Raw genomic sequence first — 21,028 nt, 5'->3', positions numbered from 1 at the left:
TGACACACAGAATGGAAGCAGCAGAATGCCTAAGCATTCAGATTTTTTTTTTTTTTAACGTTTTGCCTGGTGGGTCCCATAGGGGTGCTTTCATTTTAGAGCTCAGTCCTGAGCCTCAGCTGCGGGATGCCTGCGGTCCTCTCTCTCCAACTGCCTCATTCCTCCTGCAGCTTTTCTCAGTTTGGGAGATTTGGAGGGAGCTTTCTCTTCCTTCAGACTCCCCAAGCCTCCCACTCACGGGGTGGTGACCTGAAGAGCGTTCCTACGCTTCGCACTTCCTTTTCATCAAAGGGGAGGCAACTCCCCAGCAGCGGGCTTCACACCTTTCCCGCCCTTAAGTATGTGTACGTTGGGTGCAGAACCGTTTGGTTTTCCCGAGGGGTAGGCAGAATTTCCAACCCCACGAGCTGCTCCCTCTTTCCGCAAACCTCCTAACCCCGGGGTTTTTCCATAAATGTGTTTACTTCGTCCACGCCAGCCTGCGAAGTTCCAAAATGGAGTCTGGGCCACGCCGGCGTTCTGGGCACGACTACGGTCTCTTGAAAAGGTAGGGAAGAGTCGGCGAGCTCCAGCTTTGGGGGATGCCGCGTGGCCCGGCCGCGCCTAGGCCGCCTGCTGGCCCTGCCGCCTCGATGGGCAGGTGCGCGCCGAACGCGGGGAGCGGCCCGGAGGCTGAGCGCAGCGCAGCACCGTCCGCGGGCCCTCCTGGGCCACCTCTGCGCCCACTGGGGGCTGACCCTTGTGTTTCTCCAGGCTCAGACCCAGCCAGCCCCTCGTCCCGGCCGGCGTCTAGGGCGCAGGCATTGCGGGGCCCACCCAAGAGCAGGTCACCCGCCAGGCTCGCCGCCCGCCCCCAGCAGCCCTCGGCGCAGAAAGGCCACGCGGCCCACGGGCGAGTTGTGGGTTTCGGGTGTGCGGAGAGGGAAGTCCCGGAGTCTGCAGTGGCCCGGCTGTGCCCCCGAGGCTGTCTCCGCGGAGCCGTTCCATTCCTGCCGCGGCCCCGGGGACCTGAGCTGCTGGCTGGCTCTGAAATTTCCGCTGACCCGGTCATCTGCTGTCCTCGCGGCTCTGGACTTGCGACACCAAGGACGCTCTCAGGGAAATGGCTAACTGACGAGGGGCGCGCGAGCAGCGGCTGCCTGAACCCCAACCGCTGCAAGTTTACGCCCCGGGAGGCCGGGATGAAGGCCAGGGACAGGAAACGCGGAGGAGGAGGTGGAGGAGGAGGGGGCGCGCAGCGCAGGCCCCTGCCCCCCGGCCCACCCAGGAGGCTCTGCCAGCTAAGCAGCGAGCAGGTGTCAGACACAGACTTCCCTGGAGTTGACTCTCAGCCTCTCCCACTCGGACCGCGCGCCTCTCCCACTCGGACTCGGATCCTCGAAACTTTTAATCTTTAAAGAATACAATGTGAAAACCTTATCTTTTTCCAGGGATCCCAGCCACTACCTCCGGGGACTCGCCTCCCTTCTCCTCAGCCTTCCACTGCCTCTGCGGGGCGGGGACCTTTTGCATTTGAACTTCCCGCACTGTTGGCCGTTTTTCGCCAGAGCCTGGAGGAGTAGGGAGCTTGGCTCTGCTCAGGGTGCGTGCACCCTGGCCCTGGAGTAGCAAGGACGCCTGGGGAACCCAGAGGAGGATTGCGTGTACTAGGCCGAGTCGAGGGTGCGGAGACAAGGGCAAAAGGCTAAGAATTTTATCTTTTAAAACAGCGCGTCAGCGCCCGTGCTCTCAGCAGGGCTGAGGTGGGAAAGCGCAGCCGCGGGCTGCAGTCCGCAGCCGGCGGGAAGGGCCGCAGCGCCCCCTGGAGGCACCGGCCGAGCTCTGCGTGGCGCGGGCTGAGGGGGCGGCCACACCGGTGGTGGGCTCCGCTGCGTGAGGGCTTGGCCAACAGCTGCCCCGCCGGCCCAGCGGCTCCCTGTACCTGGGCCCGAGCCCCTTTGCTGCAGAGAAAGAGTCGCGTGTGCGGTAGGGGTCCTGTGGAGAGGGCCTGGGCCTATTCTCAGGGCCAATAAGCTTCTCCACACCCACCGTCGGGTCCTTTGTGGGAGCCCCACATGGTGTCCCCCACCCCAGAGCCTTTTCTCCTGGTGGGTTTCTGAGACGGATTTTTCGGACCCACGACGCCACTCCGGGCTGCCCTGACTTCCCCAGAGGAGGAGAAAGATACCAGTTCTGACCCCAGCGCAGGGAGTTCGCAGGCGGTCGCGTGCGGGGCGGCGCAGATTCCAAGGCCGGGGACCTTGTCCGGGCGGGAGATGCAGAGGGGTTTCCCAGGGGACCGCGTGCAGACAGGCTGCCCCACTCCCACGGATGGCGCGGGGGCCTTCCCGCGTCTGCGGGAGCTGAGGGTCGTTCCTCACTGCAGGAACCCCGCCACCCGGAATCGGGCCGGGCCAGCCAGCCGCAGGCACCCTTCCGGCCACCAGCCTGCGAGGCACTGAGTCACAGGGAAGGGGAGCTCAGTGGGAAGGCCGAGCACGGGGTCTCAGGGCAAGTTGCGTGGCCGTGGCCGTGGTGGTCTAGCCTGGGGACAGAAACCTCCTTGAGCCCAGGTCCAGCCCGGGTTTGGATTTCCCAGCTGAGGCCCTCGGCTGCCGCAGCGGCGGAGCCCAGAGCCGGCGCAAGGCCACCCAGGCCACCGTCAGCCCCTCGCTAGTCGCAAGATGCCTCCGCGACCCTGGAGCGTGAGGATGGTCCCGGGGGAGGAGCGGGCGGAAGGGCGCACCGGCTCCTGCACAAGCTGGATACGGCTCGGGCTCCGCGGTCTCCAGGCCCGCGCCGCACGCCGAGGGGGTAGGAGCGGGCTCCCGGGGCGGCGCGCGGGCACAGAGCGTGCTTTCGCCTTCCGGTGACTCCAGGGAAGGGGATCTCCTGCAGTTTGCCTCGTCGGAGAGAGCCAGGCTAACGCCCATGATCCCGCGTCCAAGGCTGCTTCGAATTCATGGTGCTTTTCGAACCAAGCGCTTCAGTGTCCGTGACAAGGAAGACCAGGTTTACCGATGACATCGCAGTGAAGGACAGGCCCCAGACACATCCGGGGAGAGGGGGGCTCTCCGCACCGGGCCCCTCTGGGAAGGCCCCAACCGCCCAGGGCGGGACTGGCCCGGCTGTCGTGCTCAACGTGGGTAGACGATGGATGACAGAAAAGAACATCCTCGGAAAAGACTAGGGCACGGTCTGCAAACCTATATTTTTATTAGGCTTTCATATTGTGTGTGTTTTTCAACGCACTTGCCAACGCTTAAACTTTGGGAAAATTCAAACGGAAATCTTGATTTCCGATGACCTCCGTTCCTACGCGGCAGTGAGTTGGCTGGAGCTGAGCAGCGCTACCCTCCCGTCTCCAGACTTGTTTTTAAAAGGCCGGCTGAAGATTGCCTTGGACGTTCCATTTCTCACTGCAGATTTCGTTTCCCTGGGACGCTGGGATAGGTCCGAGTTACCCTCTAGAGCAGCGGTTCTTAAAGTGTGGTCCAACAGCATTCGCATCATCTGGAACTTGTTAGAAATGCAAACTCTCTGGCCTCACCTACTAAGTCAGAAACTGGGAGTGGGGCCTGGCAATCTGTGTTTGAGCAAGCCCTCCAGGTGATTCTGATGCATGGTAAAGTTTGAGAACCACTAACCTAGATCAGATTGACATTGGGGTCCATCGCGGGCGGGCGCGATTTATCTTTCCCGCGCGTGCTCTCTCTCCTCCTCCGTCCCTACCTCTTCCTTCTTCCTTCACTCGAGAGAATGCACGCATAAACGCATCTGCTTTAGGCAGCTTATTCATTCATTCACTCGCTCACTTATTTCTCATTCATCAGACTTTCCAAAGGCACCTTCAAGTACTTGGAAACGAGCTTAGGATACCTAGGGGAACAAGGCTGTACCCCTCCCCGCAAGGAGTCGGCATAAGATGGTGGGGAGAGCAATGGAGAAAAAGTGCGGGTGCCTTCTTTCACGGCCAGTTGTTGTTAATTAGTATTATCTAATACTAGATCTGACTGATTTCCGGAAATGTCGCACCTCATTTTACAGTTTCTAACTATTTGTAACACTTGCCTGCCTTCCTTGTCCGTGCCGATGTCATTCTTTTATTTTCATCACATTTTAGGGATTCTGTGTGTCTACTGCACACCTTCCACACACATCTTGACACACATTGCCCACACCTTGCCAACCCTCCCTGCAGTAGGTCAGAGTGCATGACACTGGGGGTGAGGGAGTGTCAAAATCCGAGGGACCACGGGTGGGCCAGGGCTCAGAGTCTCTGTGCCCCTGGATTACCCTGAGGCTGGGCAGGAGGGTCTGAGGACAGCTGGAACTGACTCACATGTTCCCCTCACCCACTTGGTGCACACTGGCTCCCACCCTGCTTCCTGCTGCCTCAATCTGCCTAGCTCTCCACCTTCAAGTGCATCCAGCATTGGCGTCCTGATTTGTCACCTTAAGATGGAATCAAGTCCCTTTGCTTTTCTTGAGGGAGTATAAAATAGTCTCCCTTCTCCCCCAACTAAAAATCTGAATGACACTGGCACTTTCTAGTCTTCTTATGCCAAGTCAACTTCCCTTATGATTGTTCACTTTGCACTTTCTCTCTAGGACCTTCACTTGAACTTCTCTCCTCGGCCAAAGAGCTGCCTCCACTGGACCATTTGCTTCCCTCCAGGATTTTCTAGTTTTGGGCAGTGAACAATAGAAGGCACTTTGCCTCCCCAAAATCCCGTCTAACTGGAAGCCTCTTGTCATCATCTATTTTCAAGTTTTTTTAGTTTTTTTTTTTAAGCTTTAATTTTAGTGAGTCAGTGCAGGGAAGCCACTGAAAACGCATATAAACAAAAATGAATTTTCATACTGACCATAGTCATAAATTGTACAAAAGTATTCATCATCTCCACTTTGACAAAGGGTTGCTATTTTCAAATGACCTTTTCTTATGGGGATTCTCAAAATATAAGATGTTACAGTGGTCAGGAATGTGGTAATCTCTTTACTACCAGTGATTCTATTTCTTAACAGAATTTTGCTTCCCAGTGCAGATGGTTTGATATAGTAACATTCAAAGCAGCCAGCCCTTAGGAAATGCCAAGGCCAATATTTGAATGCAGATACAAGTTTTAACAAAGGAAAATGTAGTATATCCTTGTAGCTGTTTGCCTGTGAATATTCCCCTGGAGGGCTAATACACTATTCTTGAATCTAATCCAAGTCAAGCCAACTCTAAAAATCCTGTGAAGTACCGACTAATAAGGCACATACAATTCCTTTTCAACAGTTTTCTTGAGTGTCTACTATGTACCAGGTAAGAGGCAATTGTGCTATTGTTTGAAACCTTGAACTTTCATCCTGACTTGGGGGTAGAAGTGAGGACAAGGAAGGTGGAATTTTAAGGTTGGATCCCCTTGGTTTTGTTAAATTGTTAAAGTATTTGTATTTAATGGCAATCTTTAAAACATTTATTGAATTCTGTCTTACATTTTTAGTCATTTTTATAAGTCAAGGAGAGAAAATCAATGTTTAAGCCAGCCCATTTATTAGAAAGTGAATGCCAGCACAGGCTTAACTTCTGGCTTTCCAACTGGAAGACAACATTTTATAATGATGTTATTTCACTTCATGCCAGGTGATAATTCCACTGTAGCTTCATTGTGATTGGTGACCATAGCTCACTCAAGCTGATTCTCACTTCCTGACTGTAAGGAGCCACAGAGAAAAAACAAATCATTCTTCTTCTGGCACCCTTGCTGGAGGAGGAGTAAGGGAAGAGGCAGACGGCTAGATTGGCCCCATCCTCATAGTTTTTTGGGAGAATTTGGAGCAGGACCAGCTCAGATCAAAGTTTCAAAGAATACTGGTCTTATAAGAAGTGATGAGCTCTGTTATCTTTGCCTCTGAGCCCAAAACACAGAAAACTTCAATGGATCTGGAGACATACCAGTATGAGAAGCCCCCCTCCACTCTTTACAGTGTCTGCTCATACTGCTTGTCTTAGCCACATACTTCACTTTTCAGTCACCAAACCCCTCTTCCCTTGTCCTTTCCCCCATACCATCCCTGGCCCATGCTTTGCAAGTGGGCTTGCCTCCAGGAATCAAACTGGGTGGATGCTATGATGTCAGAACACCAGGCAGCAGTGTTTCTAACGTGTTAGACCATGGTTGTCTTTTTCTTTTCCTGGAAAAGTACACTAAGTGCAAGTTGTCTCCCAGGCCATGAGGCACACATCCAAATGCCCTACGTGGTGGGCCCGCCCAGGCCCAGGAGAGTGTGGAGAACAAGTGTGTCATATGGGTGTGTTCACTAGTCCTGCTCCCCCTCTGTCTCATCATTGACCACATTCTCTTGACAAGCCATATGGCCTGGGAGTGACCTGGAATATATTAAGGGCATTGGTTTGTAGAACACTTGCAGAGCAAGGGAGCAATAGCAGAGTGGTATTTTAGAGTTGGTAATTCATTTAATGTACATTTATTGAGGATGTTTGGTATGGTAGGCCTTGTGGTAGGTACTGGGAACGCAATAATGAATTTGGAGCTATGGTCTACTGGGAAGATGTACAAGTAAATAGGCAATTATGATATCGTATGCATCAGAAACCCTGGATCCAAGATCCCTAGTTAATAGCTCTATTATGTTGGGCAAGTCATGTTGCTTGTTGAACCCTCTGTGTCTGAATCTGCAAATTAAGGATATTCTGAGGGTTAAATAACATGGATGCAGGCCAGGCATGGTGGCTCACGCCTGTAATCCCAGCACTTTGGGAGGCTGAGGTAGGTGGATCACAAGCTTAGGAGATCGAGACCATCCTGGCTAACACAGTGAAACCCTGTCTCTACTGAAAATGCAAAAACAAAATTAGCTGGTGTGGTGGCGGGCACCTGTAGTCCCACTACTTGGGAGGCTGAAGTGGGAGAATGGCATGAACCCGGGAGGTGGAGCTTGCAGTGAGCCAATATTGGGCCACTGCACTCCAGCCTGGGCGACAGAGTGAGACTCCACCTCAAAAAAAAATAAATAAATAAAAACAAAAATAAATAAATAAATAACATGGATCCATATTAATGCTCTTAGTAGTTATGACTTTTTCTTACCCATTAACATGAACTGACCTTACAAAATTATTCCTCCTATCCATGTAAGAAGTTGGAGAGAAAACCAAGGGGAAGAAATTTGACTCAATACCTATTATCTGGTTATCAAGAGTATACAATTTAAGCTGTTGGAACAAATGTTAGAGAAAAAGTTACTCATCTGCTTTGACAGTAAGACTTTTACCAAGAGAAAATGTCTACATTTTCATTTTTTACTGAAAAGTAGGAATACAGTACCATGCATTATATTATAATCTTGTTTTAATTGCAATTAGAGAATACATGGAGTGAATCTATAATGAATAGGTTGTTTTAAGCTTCTAAGTTATTATTTTGGATGCTATTCTCTAATGAAATAATGATGCAATTAATTTGGGGATACTATTGATGTATGAGGCCTTGAGGAAGGAGATTGTATTAAAATACAATTGAGCTGTGTGTATCAGAAAATCCAAATTAACATGGGTTTAAACAACAGAGAAGTTGACTTCTCCCACATAAATATAGACAAGCCAGCATCAATATGGTGGATAGCTTCTTCATTATCAGGTACTTGGGCTCATTCTATCATGTGTTTTCACCAACTTCAAGCCATGACTCTTACTTTATGGTCCAAGATAGCTGCATTCTGACCCACAGCAAGAAGGAAGGCATGAAGGAGGGCAAGCCCCCCACCCCCACCTCTAAGGAGACTCCACAGAAAGCAGAACCTAGTCACCAGGCATATCTAGCTGCAACGGAGGCTAGGAAATGTAGTCTTTACTCTGGGTAGCCATGTGCCCAGTTTAAATTCAGACTTCTATTACTAAAGAAAAGGAGAATGGATATAGGGAGACAACCAACAGTTTTAGCCATAGGATGTCTAGGCTTGTGCTTTGCTCTTTATATATGTCATGTTATTTTATTTTATTTTATTTTATTTTATTTTTGAGACGGCGTCTCGCTCTGTTGCCCAGGCTGGAGTGCAGTGGCACAATCTCAGCTCATTGCAACTTCCACCTCCTGGGTTCAAGCTTATTCTCCTGCCTCAGCCTCCCGAGTAGCTGGGATTACAGGAGCATGCCACCACACCTGGCTGATTTTTGTATTTTTAGTAGAGACGGGGTTTCACCATGTTGGCCAGGCTGGTCTCGAACTCCTGACCTCAGGTGGTCCATCCACCTTGGCTTCCCAAAGTGCTGGGATTACAGGTATGAGTCACCGTGCCCGGCCTACATATGTCATCTTATATGTGTTGGCACCATAATCACTGTCATTGGTTCTACATCGTTTTCACTGACACCTTTGCTGCTTTTATGGTTTTAAGCACTATATGCATTGGCAGGATTCTACTTTGGAACCCCTGAGCATATTGCCACTACTTGCCCCTTTTTGTTCACTCTTAGTTGTGGCTTCCGATATGCAGCTTTCTTCTTAGAGTGGGGAGGTGTGAACAAAGAAGGTGGGTCGGACTTGGAAAAGAGAGGTTTCAGGAACCTGGCTGGGGATTGTTGGGGAAGGCCACTTGTACCACATGGCAGCATTCCTTTTGTCAGATATGTACTAGGTGTCAGGTGGGCCTAGTGACTGGGTCTTCTGCAGCAGGACTTCATTTTTTCCTTGGAAGATGGAATAGGAAATGAAACAAAACAGTACATACTAGTGGAAAAGTCCCTGTACTGAAGCCCTGGATTCTTCCTGGCTCTGTTGCCATATAAAGCAGACTTGGTCGGCAACTGCTAAAGGCAGGAATGGCCTTTTTATTAATATAACCTCATAGTCAGAGGCTGCAGAAAAAAATGTGCAGCTTGGGTTCCCCAGAGGGGCAGAGTCAAAACTGCAAGCAGACCCCACACACAGCAGGGAAGGCCCTGCTCAGCCAGAGCCCAAGGACAATCTCTAAAGATAAGTGTGGAGAGACTTAATTACCATTTAAAATTGTCCTGGCCTGACCTCTCTGCCTGGTGGGTTAACTTTGCTTCTGAGCCTTGTCCTGTGTTAATACTTACAGGCTCTATTCTCTCTTCCAAGTCTAGAAGTATATTTAGTAACATAGGTATGGAAGGAGGGTGGCAGGAAGGGCCTAGAGCTCCCCAATCTCACCTGGAATCACTCTTCAGGATGCTGCTTGGCTTGGGGCAAGTTTGAGTATGGAGGTTACATGCAGGGTGTTGATGCCAATATATGGGGAGAGGGATTATTTCCCTGCAAAAACATCTGGAGTGACACTGAAGACATACTTATATACAATTTACATGAGCCCCAAGGGCTTCCCATGCCTGAGAGAATTGGATAGATAGTTCCTATTACACATTTATTTCCTTAAAGGAGATATTTTATATTCTACCCTGTAATTCAATTCTTTTGACTCCCCACTCTGCTAAAAAGAAAAAGGACATATAGTCCAAACAATTTTTAAAATACATTTCCCCCTCCAAATAGTAAATGTGCACAATTTGTGCAGATTTACACACATCTGTAAGCTATGCCTTGTTTATGCCAGTGCTTACAATATTTTAAAAATAAAGGATAATGTTTTTCGGTCTGTATACAATAGTATTTTCTTTTATCAACTCCCCACATACAAATGTATTTCGCTTTTTTAGGGTGTTATTACATGTCTAAATAGTAATGTACACAACTGATACATAGGAAGGACACATATGTTTTACAACAAACATACCAAAGGATGTAAAATACTCATGCTGACTCTTTAGAATACAATACCTAATAACCTGCAGAGTTAGAAAAGGCCATGTAACTTGGTCTGACCCCATTCTATGTGTTGGAGTTAGAGGATTTAGGATCATGGAATGTAGTTTAGAGACGATATAACCCAGGTCTCTCATTTTACCTATGTGGCCACAGAGGCTCAGGAGGAAAGTAATTTCCTCAAACTAGCTGACTTTTCCACAGCACAGACCTGGGGCTACTGATTTCAGGCAAAAGGCTCTTTCTCTTATGACCAGGTAACAGTCTAGATTGAAGCTGGAATTTGGCTCTGGGAAAAAGTGGTGACTTGATTCCAGCAGAGTAATTGGCTGTATCAATAGCCTCTGAGTATCAGAATTCCATTCAACCCCAGCTGTCCTCCCAGGGCCTAACTTTTCGAAGTATGGCTGGAGGACCAGGAGCATTGGCCTCACCTGGGGGCTGTTTAGTAATGCAGCAGACCTCCTGAATGAGAATCTGAATTTTAACAAGATAGTTCCCTTGGTGATATGCCTATAGACTAAATTTGGAAACAACTACTCCAGGCCACTGTGCCTCTATTGCCAGATAATTTCCTTAAAGCCCTTTTAAATCACTTTCCTCTGATTCATTAAACACCTACAATGGCTTCCTATTGCTTATCTCTTCCTATCCAAATGTTTTTGAAAGTCGAGTGTTTATCTACTAAACCTGGGGAGTACTGTTTCCCTGGTTATATACTTGACTTGCTCTAGAGCTAGACCTGGGAATCCAGCTATTGATATTTAAAGACCTCCTCCAATGACTAGCCTTCATGGGTCCTTAAATTGGCTGTTTGAGAACTATTGATCCAAAATGTTGCTTAGGAATAACTAAGAATAGATAAATCTTAGAAAACAGTAAGCATTACTCCCAACTACCTTGTTTTTCTTAGATGCCAAATCATAAAAACTGTTTTCCTACTCATAGTATTTTCTCTTATTTTTTTTTCCCCTTTCATTGGCTTCTCACTTGCTCCCAATCTGAGATGATAAACTCTGCATGATTCCCAAATTATCTCTTCCATTTTCCACTGTTAATTATTGTTACCATCAGGAGTGAACTATCCTGGAGGCCTGTTTAGATCAATTGGGGATCCAGGCATTTCGTTGATCTGGCTTCGGTATCTGACTACCAGAATTTATTTGGATTATCTGGTTTGCTAACTGCAAGTCTCCACTTACCTCATCATTTCATTAAAGTACCACCCAAAATTGTGCTTTGGTTAAAAGGAACAACATTCCTGGAGCAAGAGGGACCATTCATTAGTGAAGGCGAAATCAATTAAGGAGCTCTATCTTTTAGAGTAAAAGAAAGTATACTTAACCACAGTTGGGGCTCTTAAGTTGCACTGACATATCCAGGAAAGGAGATTGTTGTGTATTCCAGAGTCATCTAGTACAGCATGATTGTTTTTGTTCTGACAGGGCTCCTTTCTTACAAGGCAATGATTTAGGGCGGGGCCAGTCAGCAAAGTTTTTTGTACTTAACAAAAATGGCTGTTATCAAAAGCCAGTGCCTCTCCTGGCTGTTCACTGTTACCTCATTACAACCATGATGTTATCTGCTGGGTATCTGGGTTTACCACTGACCACAGCAGAGGCTTGGACATTATTTGCTCAAATGATTTTCTTCTCCTCTTCCTTTTGTTTTAATTATGTGCATGAGGGATCAGGCTGGCGCAGGCCGGGTCGGGGTAGGAGTGGTTATTCCACAGAGCACAATGTGTACTTTTTCAGCATTCTACTTACTTCCATAAAGTAGACTTTATGAGCTGTGTGCTTGCATTTTTGTTTTCTGACTTATTGTTCTCTATCCTACAATTGTTCTATTAATTTGATAGTATATGGTTTCAGCCAAACATTTGTTCCAAATTCTGCCAGATTAAGGGGAAGTTTCCAGACAAAACACTGCCCAGGGGCCTTCCTATACAAGCAGAACTACTTCAGCTCATCCCTTGGCCACTGCACTATCTCCTTGGAAGTCTTCAGGAGTGGAGTGGGGTCAGTGGTTGCACTTGAGCTCAGCCGATTTCAAGGATACCTCATCTCTCTGTGGCAGGGCACATCCACAGGCAATTCTGGAACCAGCTCAGTGGCAGAAACATGGGTCAGACAGAAGCTGTGGGTTAGGAACTTGATCTGAGTGTTGAGAAATGAAGTACAGAAGCTTGTAGGGTCAGCTCCATCCTTCTTGGGCTAAGCATTTTCCTTCAGGCGCTGTGCAGGCCTGTTCTCAGAATGACATTCACATTCCACTCAAGTAGTCTGCTTTTGTAATTCCCTGGGGATTTTCATGAGTATAGAGGTCACTGTCTCTGACAATTAAGCTTTGAAGTTAATTCCCAAGATAAATAGAGCAAATTGACACCAGTTTGGTTGTAATTTTTCTTGCTTCAAATTCTAGAAGACAACAGTGAACCGGCTGCCAGACTCAGTTCCTGGAAATCCAAGAAACATGGGCATTTTATTTTTTACCCTTCCTAAATGAGGCAATTTAAGGCTGTTAGAAACAACAAAATCCATGTAAACATCTTAATTCTACAATTTTGCTTGCATTTCTGAGAGGACAGACAATCATTGTTTCCATTTTTTTTTAAGCTACATAAGTAGTGGTTTCTTTTAAAACTGGAATGATAGAAGGTTATAATCTTTTTAATTCAGACCTTGCAGCAGAAAAGTTGGATTTACTTGTGAACTGTATTATTCAGTAACACACTCTGCATGGAACAGGGAAAGTAAATAACTGAACACATACTTTATAATTACACATGGGAGGAATTCAAAGCTACAGTGAAGGGAATGGAGTTTGGGGGCCTGGGGCGGCAGCTGCAGTTTCTGGCTTCTCCCTCCCTACATGCTGAGGGCCTGAGAGAACAGGAACCTGGAGTTCCCAGTAGGCCTCCCATTCCCCCCACAACCGCCTTCCCCTCCTCCCCAGGGTAGTGAGGGAGTTGAGATGAAGGATTTGTCACTCTAGGCCTCAGCTTACAGGGACATAATTAGGATTTACAGAACAAAATGTGAGCCCAGGATGGGACTAGAGATTTATTATACCACTTCCTACATGTTGTTCAGGACACCTCAAGATCTTAATAATTTTGAGGAAAAAAGATTCCATTGTCAAATAAGTTTGAGAAAGGTTATATATTGGAGAATCAAAGTGCATGCTAGCACAACAAAGACTCTGAGAAGGCCTACGGTAAAGACATCTGTTTAATCCAGTCTTCCTCACCCCTATTTGATTTCTAAACTTCCTTTCAGCTACAAAGTTCTGAAGGTTCTTGCTGACCAAGCACTTTCTGCTTTTCAAGTGAGTTTATGGGAAGACAGAGAAAATCATGATAATTAATTCAGATTTTAAAACTCAGATTATAACACACTAAAAAATAGGGATATAATTAATTTCATTGTCAAGGGAGACCAAGAGGCTGGCACAATTTAATTGTACTAACCTGATCTTTATTCCTTTATTTATTTATTTATTTATGACAGGGTCTGGCTCTGTCACCCAAGATGGAGTACAGTAGTGTGATCTTGGCTCACTGCAACCTCCACCTCCTGGTCTCAAGTGATCCTCCCACCTTAGCCTCCCAGGTAGCTGGGACTGCAGTGGTGCACCACCACACTCAGCTAATTTTTTTGCAGAGATGGGGTTTCGCCACGTTCCCTAGGCTAGTCTCAAACTCCTGAGCTCAAGCAATCCTCTGCCTTGGCCTCCCAAAGTGCTGGGATTACAGGCATGGGCCAGCACATCTGGTCTCCCAACCTGATCTTTGAATCACAACACTGTTACTCATCAGCTGTGTGACTCTTGGCATTCATTTGCCTTAGTTTCTCTAGTTAGTTTTTTTTTGTTGTTGTTCATTTTTTGAGATGGAGTTTTGCTCTTGTTGCCTGGGCTGGAGTGCAATGCTGTGCTCAGTTCACTGCAACCTCTGCCTCTCGGGTTCAAGCAATTCTCCTGCCTCAGCTTCCCAAGTAGCTGGGATTACAGGCATCTGCCACCATGCCTGGCTAATTTTTGTATTCTTAGTAGAGACGGGGTTTCACCATGTTGGCCAGACTGGTCTCAAACTCCTGACCTCAGGTGATCCACCCGCCTTGGCCTCCCAAAGTACTGGGATTAAAGGCATGAACCACCATGCCCGGCCTGTTTGTCAAGCTTTGACCTTTGAATTAAAAATCTTTTTCAGCTCAACTCTTGTCCATGTGTGGGAATATTGATTGGAGCTTCTCCCAGTAGTCCATACAGTTGTTAAAGCCCCCCTCATTCTAAACCTGTTATCAGGTTTAGAAATTGCTTCTGGTCCATAAAGCCAGTTTTGCAGGGAATTATTTCCAAGTGAGGAATTTGTGCTTCCTTTGGGGAGAATCAGCAACTTATTATAATTTTTTTAATTGGAAAGGTAATACCAGTATTGTAGAATCTTTGGAAAGCCAAGAAGAGAAGAAAAGAATGGTGCTTGGTTAATGAGCACTTACTATGTGCCAGATATAGCTCTAAGAGTTTCGCTTGTATTAACCTCAAGGCCAAGCCACACAAAGGCTCACTGCTCTGCAGTGCAGGAACCTAGAAAGGATACTTCAAACTAGTCAAAGGTGGAATAACTATTGAATCTGTCTAGCTATTCCTGAGGGACTAACTAACCATCCAATTGCCAAATCCCCCAACCTTTTAAAGGAGATGCATAGGTATATTTTAAAGCACAAGCTTTGCAATTGTCTTGTTTTTTCACAGTTTCTTGGGTGTGGCCTTTTTGTGATCAACCAGCATTCTACAGGTTATTTGCAGTATGCTATAAATCCAGGTATTGATAAGGCAGAGTAAACATTTTCTCCTGGTGAGGTGATAGCCTTGCATTGCTTTAGCTTTAGATTTCTCTCCAGTGGACTGTGTCTGTGCAGAGACAGTTGGTTTATAGACCGTCAACTGAAGCAGGGCACAATAATAAGGTAAGGACAACTGGAGCCGTGGAATGCCACAACAATGGCATGCGTGTTGTAGGATGCCAACCTGCTTTGAACACATTCTGACTCATTTCTCCTGTTCTCATCTTCTCTAGGCTCCCCACTGCATACTGAAGTACCCTACAGACAAGCCTGTATTAGTCAGGACTCTTGTTTGCAAGTGACAAAAACCCAACTCTAGCTAGTTTAAGCAATAAAGGGAGTTTAGTGGTCCATGTAACCGAAAAGTCCATGAGTTGAATAGCTTCAGGCATGCCTAGATCCAGGCACTCAAACCATATCATGAGGATCTCTTTCCCTTCTTTTCATAATATATGGCCTCATTCTCTTCTACTGCAGACAGCTCCCACTCTGTGGCCTAGGAACGTGGACACTTATAGTTCCAGCTTATGTTATGTGATCATTATAGTTTACAATCCTAGAGCAGGGAAGTGTGTCTTTCCTTTCATGTTAATAGCACAAGCTCTGGGACAAGACTGCCTAGTTACACAGTCTATCTCTACCACCTAGGTGTATGATCTTAGACAAGTTACTCTATCTTTGCTTCAGTTTCTTTATCTGTAAAGGGGTGATAATAATAGCATTACCTTATCAAATTATATGATAATTAAATGAGATAATGCATCTGAAGCATTTAAACTGTTCCCAGCACAGGGTAAGCACTCAATAAACACTAGTAGTAGGAGAAGACCTTCCATAGAAGATTTGGCTCAGCTTGTGCCATATGCGTATCTCTGGATTAATCACTGTAGGTTGGGGAATAAAGGAATCTGACTGGCCAGATCTGAGACATAGTCCCACCCTTTTGCACTGGGAGGGCAATGCCCAAACCACAATGAATCACAGAAAAGTTATTCCCAAAGGAAGGACTGTTGAGCAGACAAATAACACTATAGGGCCAACACATGGTCCAACCCTGAACAAGACAGGTAGCCTCAGCTCTGCCCTCCAGTATGATTTGAAATAAAGTTGGATTGCCAGCATGATCTCACATTCAGAGATTGAGCCACAGGCCTAATGTAGCCCTAAAGTGGAAGTATCATCTCATCACCCTCATTCTGTCAGAACTGCGCCCATCTAGATATCTTGATTCTAGCTTGATCTGCTTGGTTATCCTGCCTAGAACTCCTGGCTCTGCATAGAGCTAGGACACACTATAAACTTCATTTTGCCTGGCTGTGGCCCTTACACAGCCTAGTCTGCATTCGGGCCCCATGCCCCTGCAGTTCTCACTGTCACCACACAACCACCCACCACTGCTGCCTGGAACTTCTCAGTACCTTGCCTTGCCTACTGGTTTTGGGCCAGCTGGTACCATAGCACACCTAAGCTTGCTGTGTCCTAACATACCATGCCATAGCTATCCTGGAGTCAGTTTCCTCTACCCTGCCCTAACTTCCTCTTTTGTTGTCCCAAATCCCAATGTGCTTTGGCCCCATTTTAAGAAGATCTGGCTATGCCTTATTTCTTAACGGCCTTAATTTTACAACTGCATTTGTATGTTGTCTTTTCTTTGCTGGTTATTCTTTTACGGCTTTGGTTCTTATTCAAAAACCTCTTCCCATTTCCCTGTCCATATTACTGCATTATAGATGTGTGTGTGTGTGTGCATGTGTGTGTATTGTTTTACTTTCTCTTGAAGAGAGTATTATTTTCAATGTCTTAGCCCAGGGCACTAATATGGGGGCATCACGGGGTATGATAAACTTGAGGGTCCATAAGTGGCATCTTGGGTAGAATGAAAAGTTCCGTATTCCATATGTTTGCATTAATAGACAACTAGTTCTGTAGCTGACTAATAAATCACATTTCCAGGTCAATGAATAGGTTTTTATTTCACAATGAATGATTCCCCAAATATAAGAACTTCTAAAGAGCAGATAAAAGCAGCTGCAAATGTGATCTAGGAATAAATATCACGAAAAGAAACCCAAGCAGCCTGCAGAGTTCCAGCTGCTCTCCCCCCAACCCTTATCAGCGTTCTAATGGTCAGGCGCAATTTGAAGTTAGAAGGCACATTTCCAACAGCTTTTGTCCTTATATGTGGTTCTTGAAATAGTGCAGACATTCTGGTTCCTATCAAAATAGTAGTCACTGTCTCCAAAATTATTCACTTCCTTCTCATCCTCTCTTCTCCCCCGGCCCCTCTTTGGCATCTGCATCTTCCATCCTGATACTCAAGATGACAAATCCTGATTATGAGGAGGCTCTGATGCTACATACTTTAATATGAGCTGAGCAGAGCCAAGTTTAGCCTGTGATTTATGTGGTCATTCAACTCACTAGGGCAAACAAGGGTTTCCTAATCCCATACCTTTAATCCTTGCCTCCTCCAAACCACATTTCCATCTTATTGTTGCAGCTGCAGCGGGTTCCTTGAAACTAAACTGCAGTTTTCCAGGGATGGTAATTCCATCTTCCTGAGCTGATTCAAAGATTAAACAGAGTGCTTTAGAGATTGCATTCACAGCAAGCAGCAAGGGCAATCAAAAAGTGGTGTTTGGGCCAACAACAATACAACTTTCAGATGAAAAAAGGGGGCTGAAAAAATCTTTAAAATTAGAGGGGTTTGAATGAGTTTTTATTCCTGACATTGAAGGCTATGGAGCTGCCTTCTATACAGTAAAGTGCTAAGGATTTGGCATCTCTATTACCTCAAAACCTGAGTCCCTCAGGTAAATGAGTGAGTGAGGCATACAGTACAGAAAACAGTTTCTCTCCAATTCTGCTGCCAATCTGCTCCATGATCTTGGGAGAGCTAAGGAACTTGTTGCAGAATAGTCACGTATCTCTCTTTAGATTTTCAGTAATTGTCTTTTCCTGCCTTGTGATGCAACAAGTCTGGATGCCTTATTTTGCAGTTTTTACTTGAAATGTGAGCAATCACTATCAATAAGCCAGGCAGAAAAATCAGAATTGTTGAGCCAACAGAAAGATCAAAAATTTCTTATGGGTTTTCAGGAGACCAATGGCAGCCCTGCACATAGAGAGAAGTAGCATTGAGTCTGATGAATGACTTTGGGAGCAGATGGGCCCCAAAGCACCCACTCTGTCTGGTCAATCTGACCTTCTTGTGGTTACTTTTGAGAAAGTTTTGGACTTTAACATCATTCTCATTACAGGATGACATTTCAGAGGAAACCTAGCTTTGAATCATTGGTGTGAGTAGTTTTCTCCTTTGTCCCTCATTATTTCAAAATCAGAGGATTTTGTCCTCTCCCTTCTTGTTGGTACCATACCGTGCCTTACACCAGCAACAATTCTGAGGCATTTTATGGGCACAGTGTCCAGGCTCCACTATCCTATGGGAAGAGAAAGAGAGGTTCATCCTCATTCCTCTGAACTCTCACAGCCTCTCATTGCACCTTCTGCTTTCCGCAGACCTAGCTTCTAATACTGAGTTTACCTCCTTTTAATTGTTTGGTGGTAAGCCAGTAAATTAAACTGTGCCTCAGGTTTGTTCCTCAGTTCTGGCTTTTTACAAGGACTGTTGCCTATGTGGTATGACTTAAGATTGTCATTCTCAAATATAAACCCACTTCCATGCCCAAAATTCAGTCTGTAGTGATCATTCCTTGGGCTAGTCCCTCTTTTGTTTTGATTTAAAGAATCCTGGGAAGAAATCCATTGGTTCCTTACGAGGTTGATGCAAGATGAGCATAGTGGTTTCAGGAGCCATCTGGGCCTTTGAAAGAGGGAAAGTATGCATAAAGAAGAAGAAGGAGCCCATAGAAATAAACTGTACTGACTTCACAACTCTACCCAGGGCTGCCTGCTTACACAACCTTGTCATTTCTTTTTCCTGTGTACATAAAGCCTTTATATAACCAGTTAGGGTAAGCAAAAACTCAATTTAGCAGAGAAACAGAAGCAGATAATGTTTATTTATTGACAAGGGAAGCAATCAGGCTTTGTTCACAAACTTATTAAACAGACAAGGTTCTCCCTGCTATCTAAACTGCAGTGTGAAGAAACAAGAAGGCAGAGGCCTGCCAAGGACGGGGAACAGCCTCCACAAAATTTTCAGGGACAAAAACGGAATCTTTGTCTTCATGCTTCTCTGCTTTCTTCAAATGGACTCTCTGAACCTGCAAACCTCCATGAACTCAAGAAGGCCTGACAACTCTTTCAGGGTACAATGACTGGTTTTAGTGCTATGGTTTTTCTTTTCTTTCCTTTTTAATATCATGAATCTAAACAAATTCCACAGGGGGAAAAAAATAAAAAGAACTGGCTGGCTCAACGTAAAACTATTGATATGGTTCCAAATTCTCTCCCATCATTGTCAACGCGCGCGCGCGCGCGCGCGCGCACACACACACACACACACACACACACGTTTTTGCAAAACTGTAACCTGCATATACACAGAGTTTTATGTTCTGGTTTTTCACTTCACTTTATTCCATATACACATTTCCATGACTTGGAGGGTACCCCAGACTTCAACACTTTTAATAGCTAAAGGGTATTCCATCTTATTTATATCTCTGGTTGAGTGACCATTCACCCTTGTACTGTGGGCTTCTGGGTTGTTCTAGCCTAGGGAGACTCCGTCGTTCTGTGCTTAAGGACATGCCCGTGGGGTTTCTCAGGCCATGTTCACAAGTAGTGCTAGGGTTTAGGTTTGTTTGTTTGTTTTCATGATTTCTTCTGTCACAGTTTTCATTTTATGTTTGCATGAGGTTATTTCTGGATTTGGTTGCTTTAAAAAAATATCATATTCATCTTTGCCAACTATCAATGCATTTGTTCTGAAATGCAATCAAGGCCTACTCTAAAAAGCAAACAATACAAGTGTTGCCACCTGTTGATGGAAATTTTATTACTCTTGTTTCACTGGAGCTCTGATGAAGAACAGCGTGAAAGGAAAAAAGAAACTTTATTATAACTCCCACAAACTCAATCCCCAGACTTATTAACATAATATTTGCATTATTACTGTTCTTTTTTTATTTCATACCTTCTTCTAACATGGGTCATTGACTGTAAGCAAGTATACATTTTGCTTCATTACAATTTGCTTTAGATATATTTAAAACCTTTCCATTTGATCAAGGCTCCACATTTCTTTTTAATTTAAAAGTTTCAAACATCAAACATTTTGAAACCCCATGGATGGTGTATACCCTAGTGCTCTACATGAAATGAGGTCAGCAAACAGCCAGAGTTTGACAATCCTCAGCGGAACCAATTTTAACTAATTTCAAAGAAGAAAAAATAGTTTCCATATTTCATAAAAAGGGTTTGCTAATAAACATAATAGAGGAAATAGAGGAAGTTACTTTTCTTAAAGCTTCAAGAATGAATGAGTATGTGTGCATTAAGAAAATAAGCAAACAGCATGTACTTTGATAAACCATAATTTATATAAATCAAAGGACAAGAGCCAAGAATTACAATAGTTTGTAACCAATGCCTTATAAATACTATAGTTTAAATATGCAAGTAAATAATAAATTCTAAGAACAGCCCTCACTCAGCGATCAGCAGTGCCTTGTATATAATAGAAGAGCAATAAATAAACTTCTGAATCCCTTTTTATTTGTTTCCTGTTTTGTTTGTTCATTCGTTTAATAATATTTGAGCTCTTACTATGTACCAGGTTCTGAGCTAGGTGTGCAGGAATAACAAGCTGAATAAAACACCATCGCTGTCCATGTATCTAATGTGGAAGTAAGAAAAGTCCCAGTTATGAAATATTCAAATGCAGGTAATAGAAAATAAAATGAGACTAATTGTGACTCAAACATTACAGATGTTCCTGTTATCTCACTTAATAAGAAGGCTGGAGGTAGGTGGTTCCAGAGATGATTCAGTGACTCTCTGAAGCCCAATAACCCAGAATATTTTTATTTCTCCTCTACAATCCTTAGTTAGGTGTTGCATTTTCCTCTTCATGCTTGTCACTACTGGTTGCAAGATGACTGTCACAGTGTCTGGCTTTACAGTCCACATTCACAGCAAGAAGAAGGAAGAAAGGGCAATGCCAGAAAGTGATTTTATTTGAGTTTTTTTCTTTTTTTAATCAGAAAACAAAATATCTCTCCCAGAAATACGCCAGCAGTTTCCCTCTTAAGCCTTATTGGCCAGAACTGGCTACCCCTAGCTGCAAGGGTGCTTTCCAACCTCTGTAGTGAGAAGGAGAAAGGAGATAGAAATGACTGTTGATAGGCCGGGCGTGGTGGCTTATGCTTGTAATCCCAGCATTTTGGAAGGCCGAGGTGGGTGGATCACTTGAGGCTAGGAGTTCAAGACCAGCCTGGCCAA

General features: G+C 45.4%; 2 protein-coding genes across 11 annotated transcripts in view, besides 4 other annotated features; both read left to right on the top strand.

Moving 5' to 3' along the window:
* The first annotated feature begins 314 nt into the window (after window positions 1–314).
* On the top strand, window positions 315–20,300 carry LOC112268016 (collagen alpha-1(I) chain-like). Of its 3 annotated transcripts, none has more exons than XM_047422523.1 (2): window positions 315–5,290; window positions 18,723–20,300. In XM_047422523.1, exon 1 carries the CDS (start codon window positions 582–584, stop codon window positions 1,395–1,397), a length of 816 nt encoding a protein of 271 aa, XP_047278479.1. In that variant the 5' UTR covers window positions 315–581; the 3' UTR covers window positions 1,398–5,290; window positions 18,723–20,300. The 3 variants fall into 3 exon arrangements, with proteins under 3 accessions (XP_047278479.1, XP_047278480.1, XP_047278478.1); XM_047422524.1 differs by lacking the exon at window positions 18,723–20,300 and having other exon boundaries at window positions 315–3,588; window positions 4,591–7,050; XM_047422522.1 differs by lacking the exon at window positions 18,723–20,300 and having other exon boundaries at window positions 315–3,604; window positions 4,591–7,050.
* Window positions 315–21,028, top strand: part of STK3 (serine/threonine kinase 3) — a 598,636-nt gene continuing 577,922 nt past the window's right edge. For all 8 annotated transcript variants that reach the window (XR_007060754.1, XM_017013756.2, XM_011517252.4 and 5 more), the window contains exon 1: window positions 315–547. Coding sequence is in view for 6 of the 8 variants with exons in the window: in XM_017013756.2 (XP_016869245.1) it covers window positions 455–547 (93 nt within the window). In the remaining 2 variants the exon portion in view is untranslated. The remainder of the gene's footprint in view (window positions 548–21,028) is intronic.
* Window positions 577–836: a silencer, noted in NCBI's record as "silent region_19403". NCBI's record gives its function as "represses an Ori minimal core promoter by ATAC-STARR-seq in GM12878 lymphoblastoid cells {active_cell/tissue: GM12878}" and the evidence as "EXISTENCE:reporter gene assay evidence [ECO:0000049][PMID:35858748]".
* Window positions 1,087–1,236: a silencer, noted in NCBI's record as "silent region_19402". NCBI's record gives its function as "represses an Ori minimal core promoter by ATAC-STARR-seq in GM12878 lymphoblastoid cells {active_cell/tissue: GM12878}" and the evidence as "EXISTENCE:reporter gene assay evidence [ECO:0000049][PMID:35858748]".
* Window positions 1,687–1,936: a silencer, noted in NCBI's record as "silent region_19401". NCBI's record gives its function as "represses an Ori minimal core promoter by ATAC-STARR-seq in GM12878 lymphoblastoid cells {active_cell/tissue: GM12878}" and the evidence as "EXISTENCE:reporter gene assay evidence [ECO:0000049][PMID:35858748]".
* Window positions 2,607–2,856: a silencer, noted in NCBI's record as "silent region_19400". NCBI's record gives its function as "represses an Ori minimal core promoter by ATAC-STARR-seq in GM12878 lymphoblastoid cells {active_cell/tissue: GM12878}" and the evidence as "EXISTENCE:reporter gene assay evidence [ECO:0000049][PMID:35858748]".

The sequence above is a fragment of the Homo sapiens genome, chromosome 8 (genome assembly GCF_000001405.40).
Source record: "Homo sapiens chromosome 8, GRCh38.p14 Primary Assembly".
Lineage (NCBI taxonomy): Eukaryota > Metazoa > Chordata > Mammalia > Primates > Hominidae > Homo > Homo sapiens.
Note: the sequence above shows the minus strand (reverse complement) of the source record. Positions and strands in the feature narration are given on the sequence as shown.

What these genes read in the sequence shown, in the direction of transcription:
- LOC112268016 (XM_047422523.1), top strand. Translation starts at nt 582, where the DNA reads ATGCCGCGTGGCCCGGCCGCGCCTAGGCCGCCTGCTGGCCCTGCCGCC.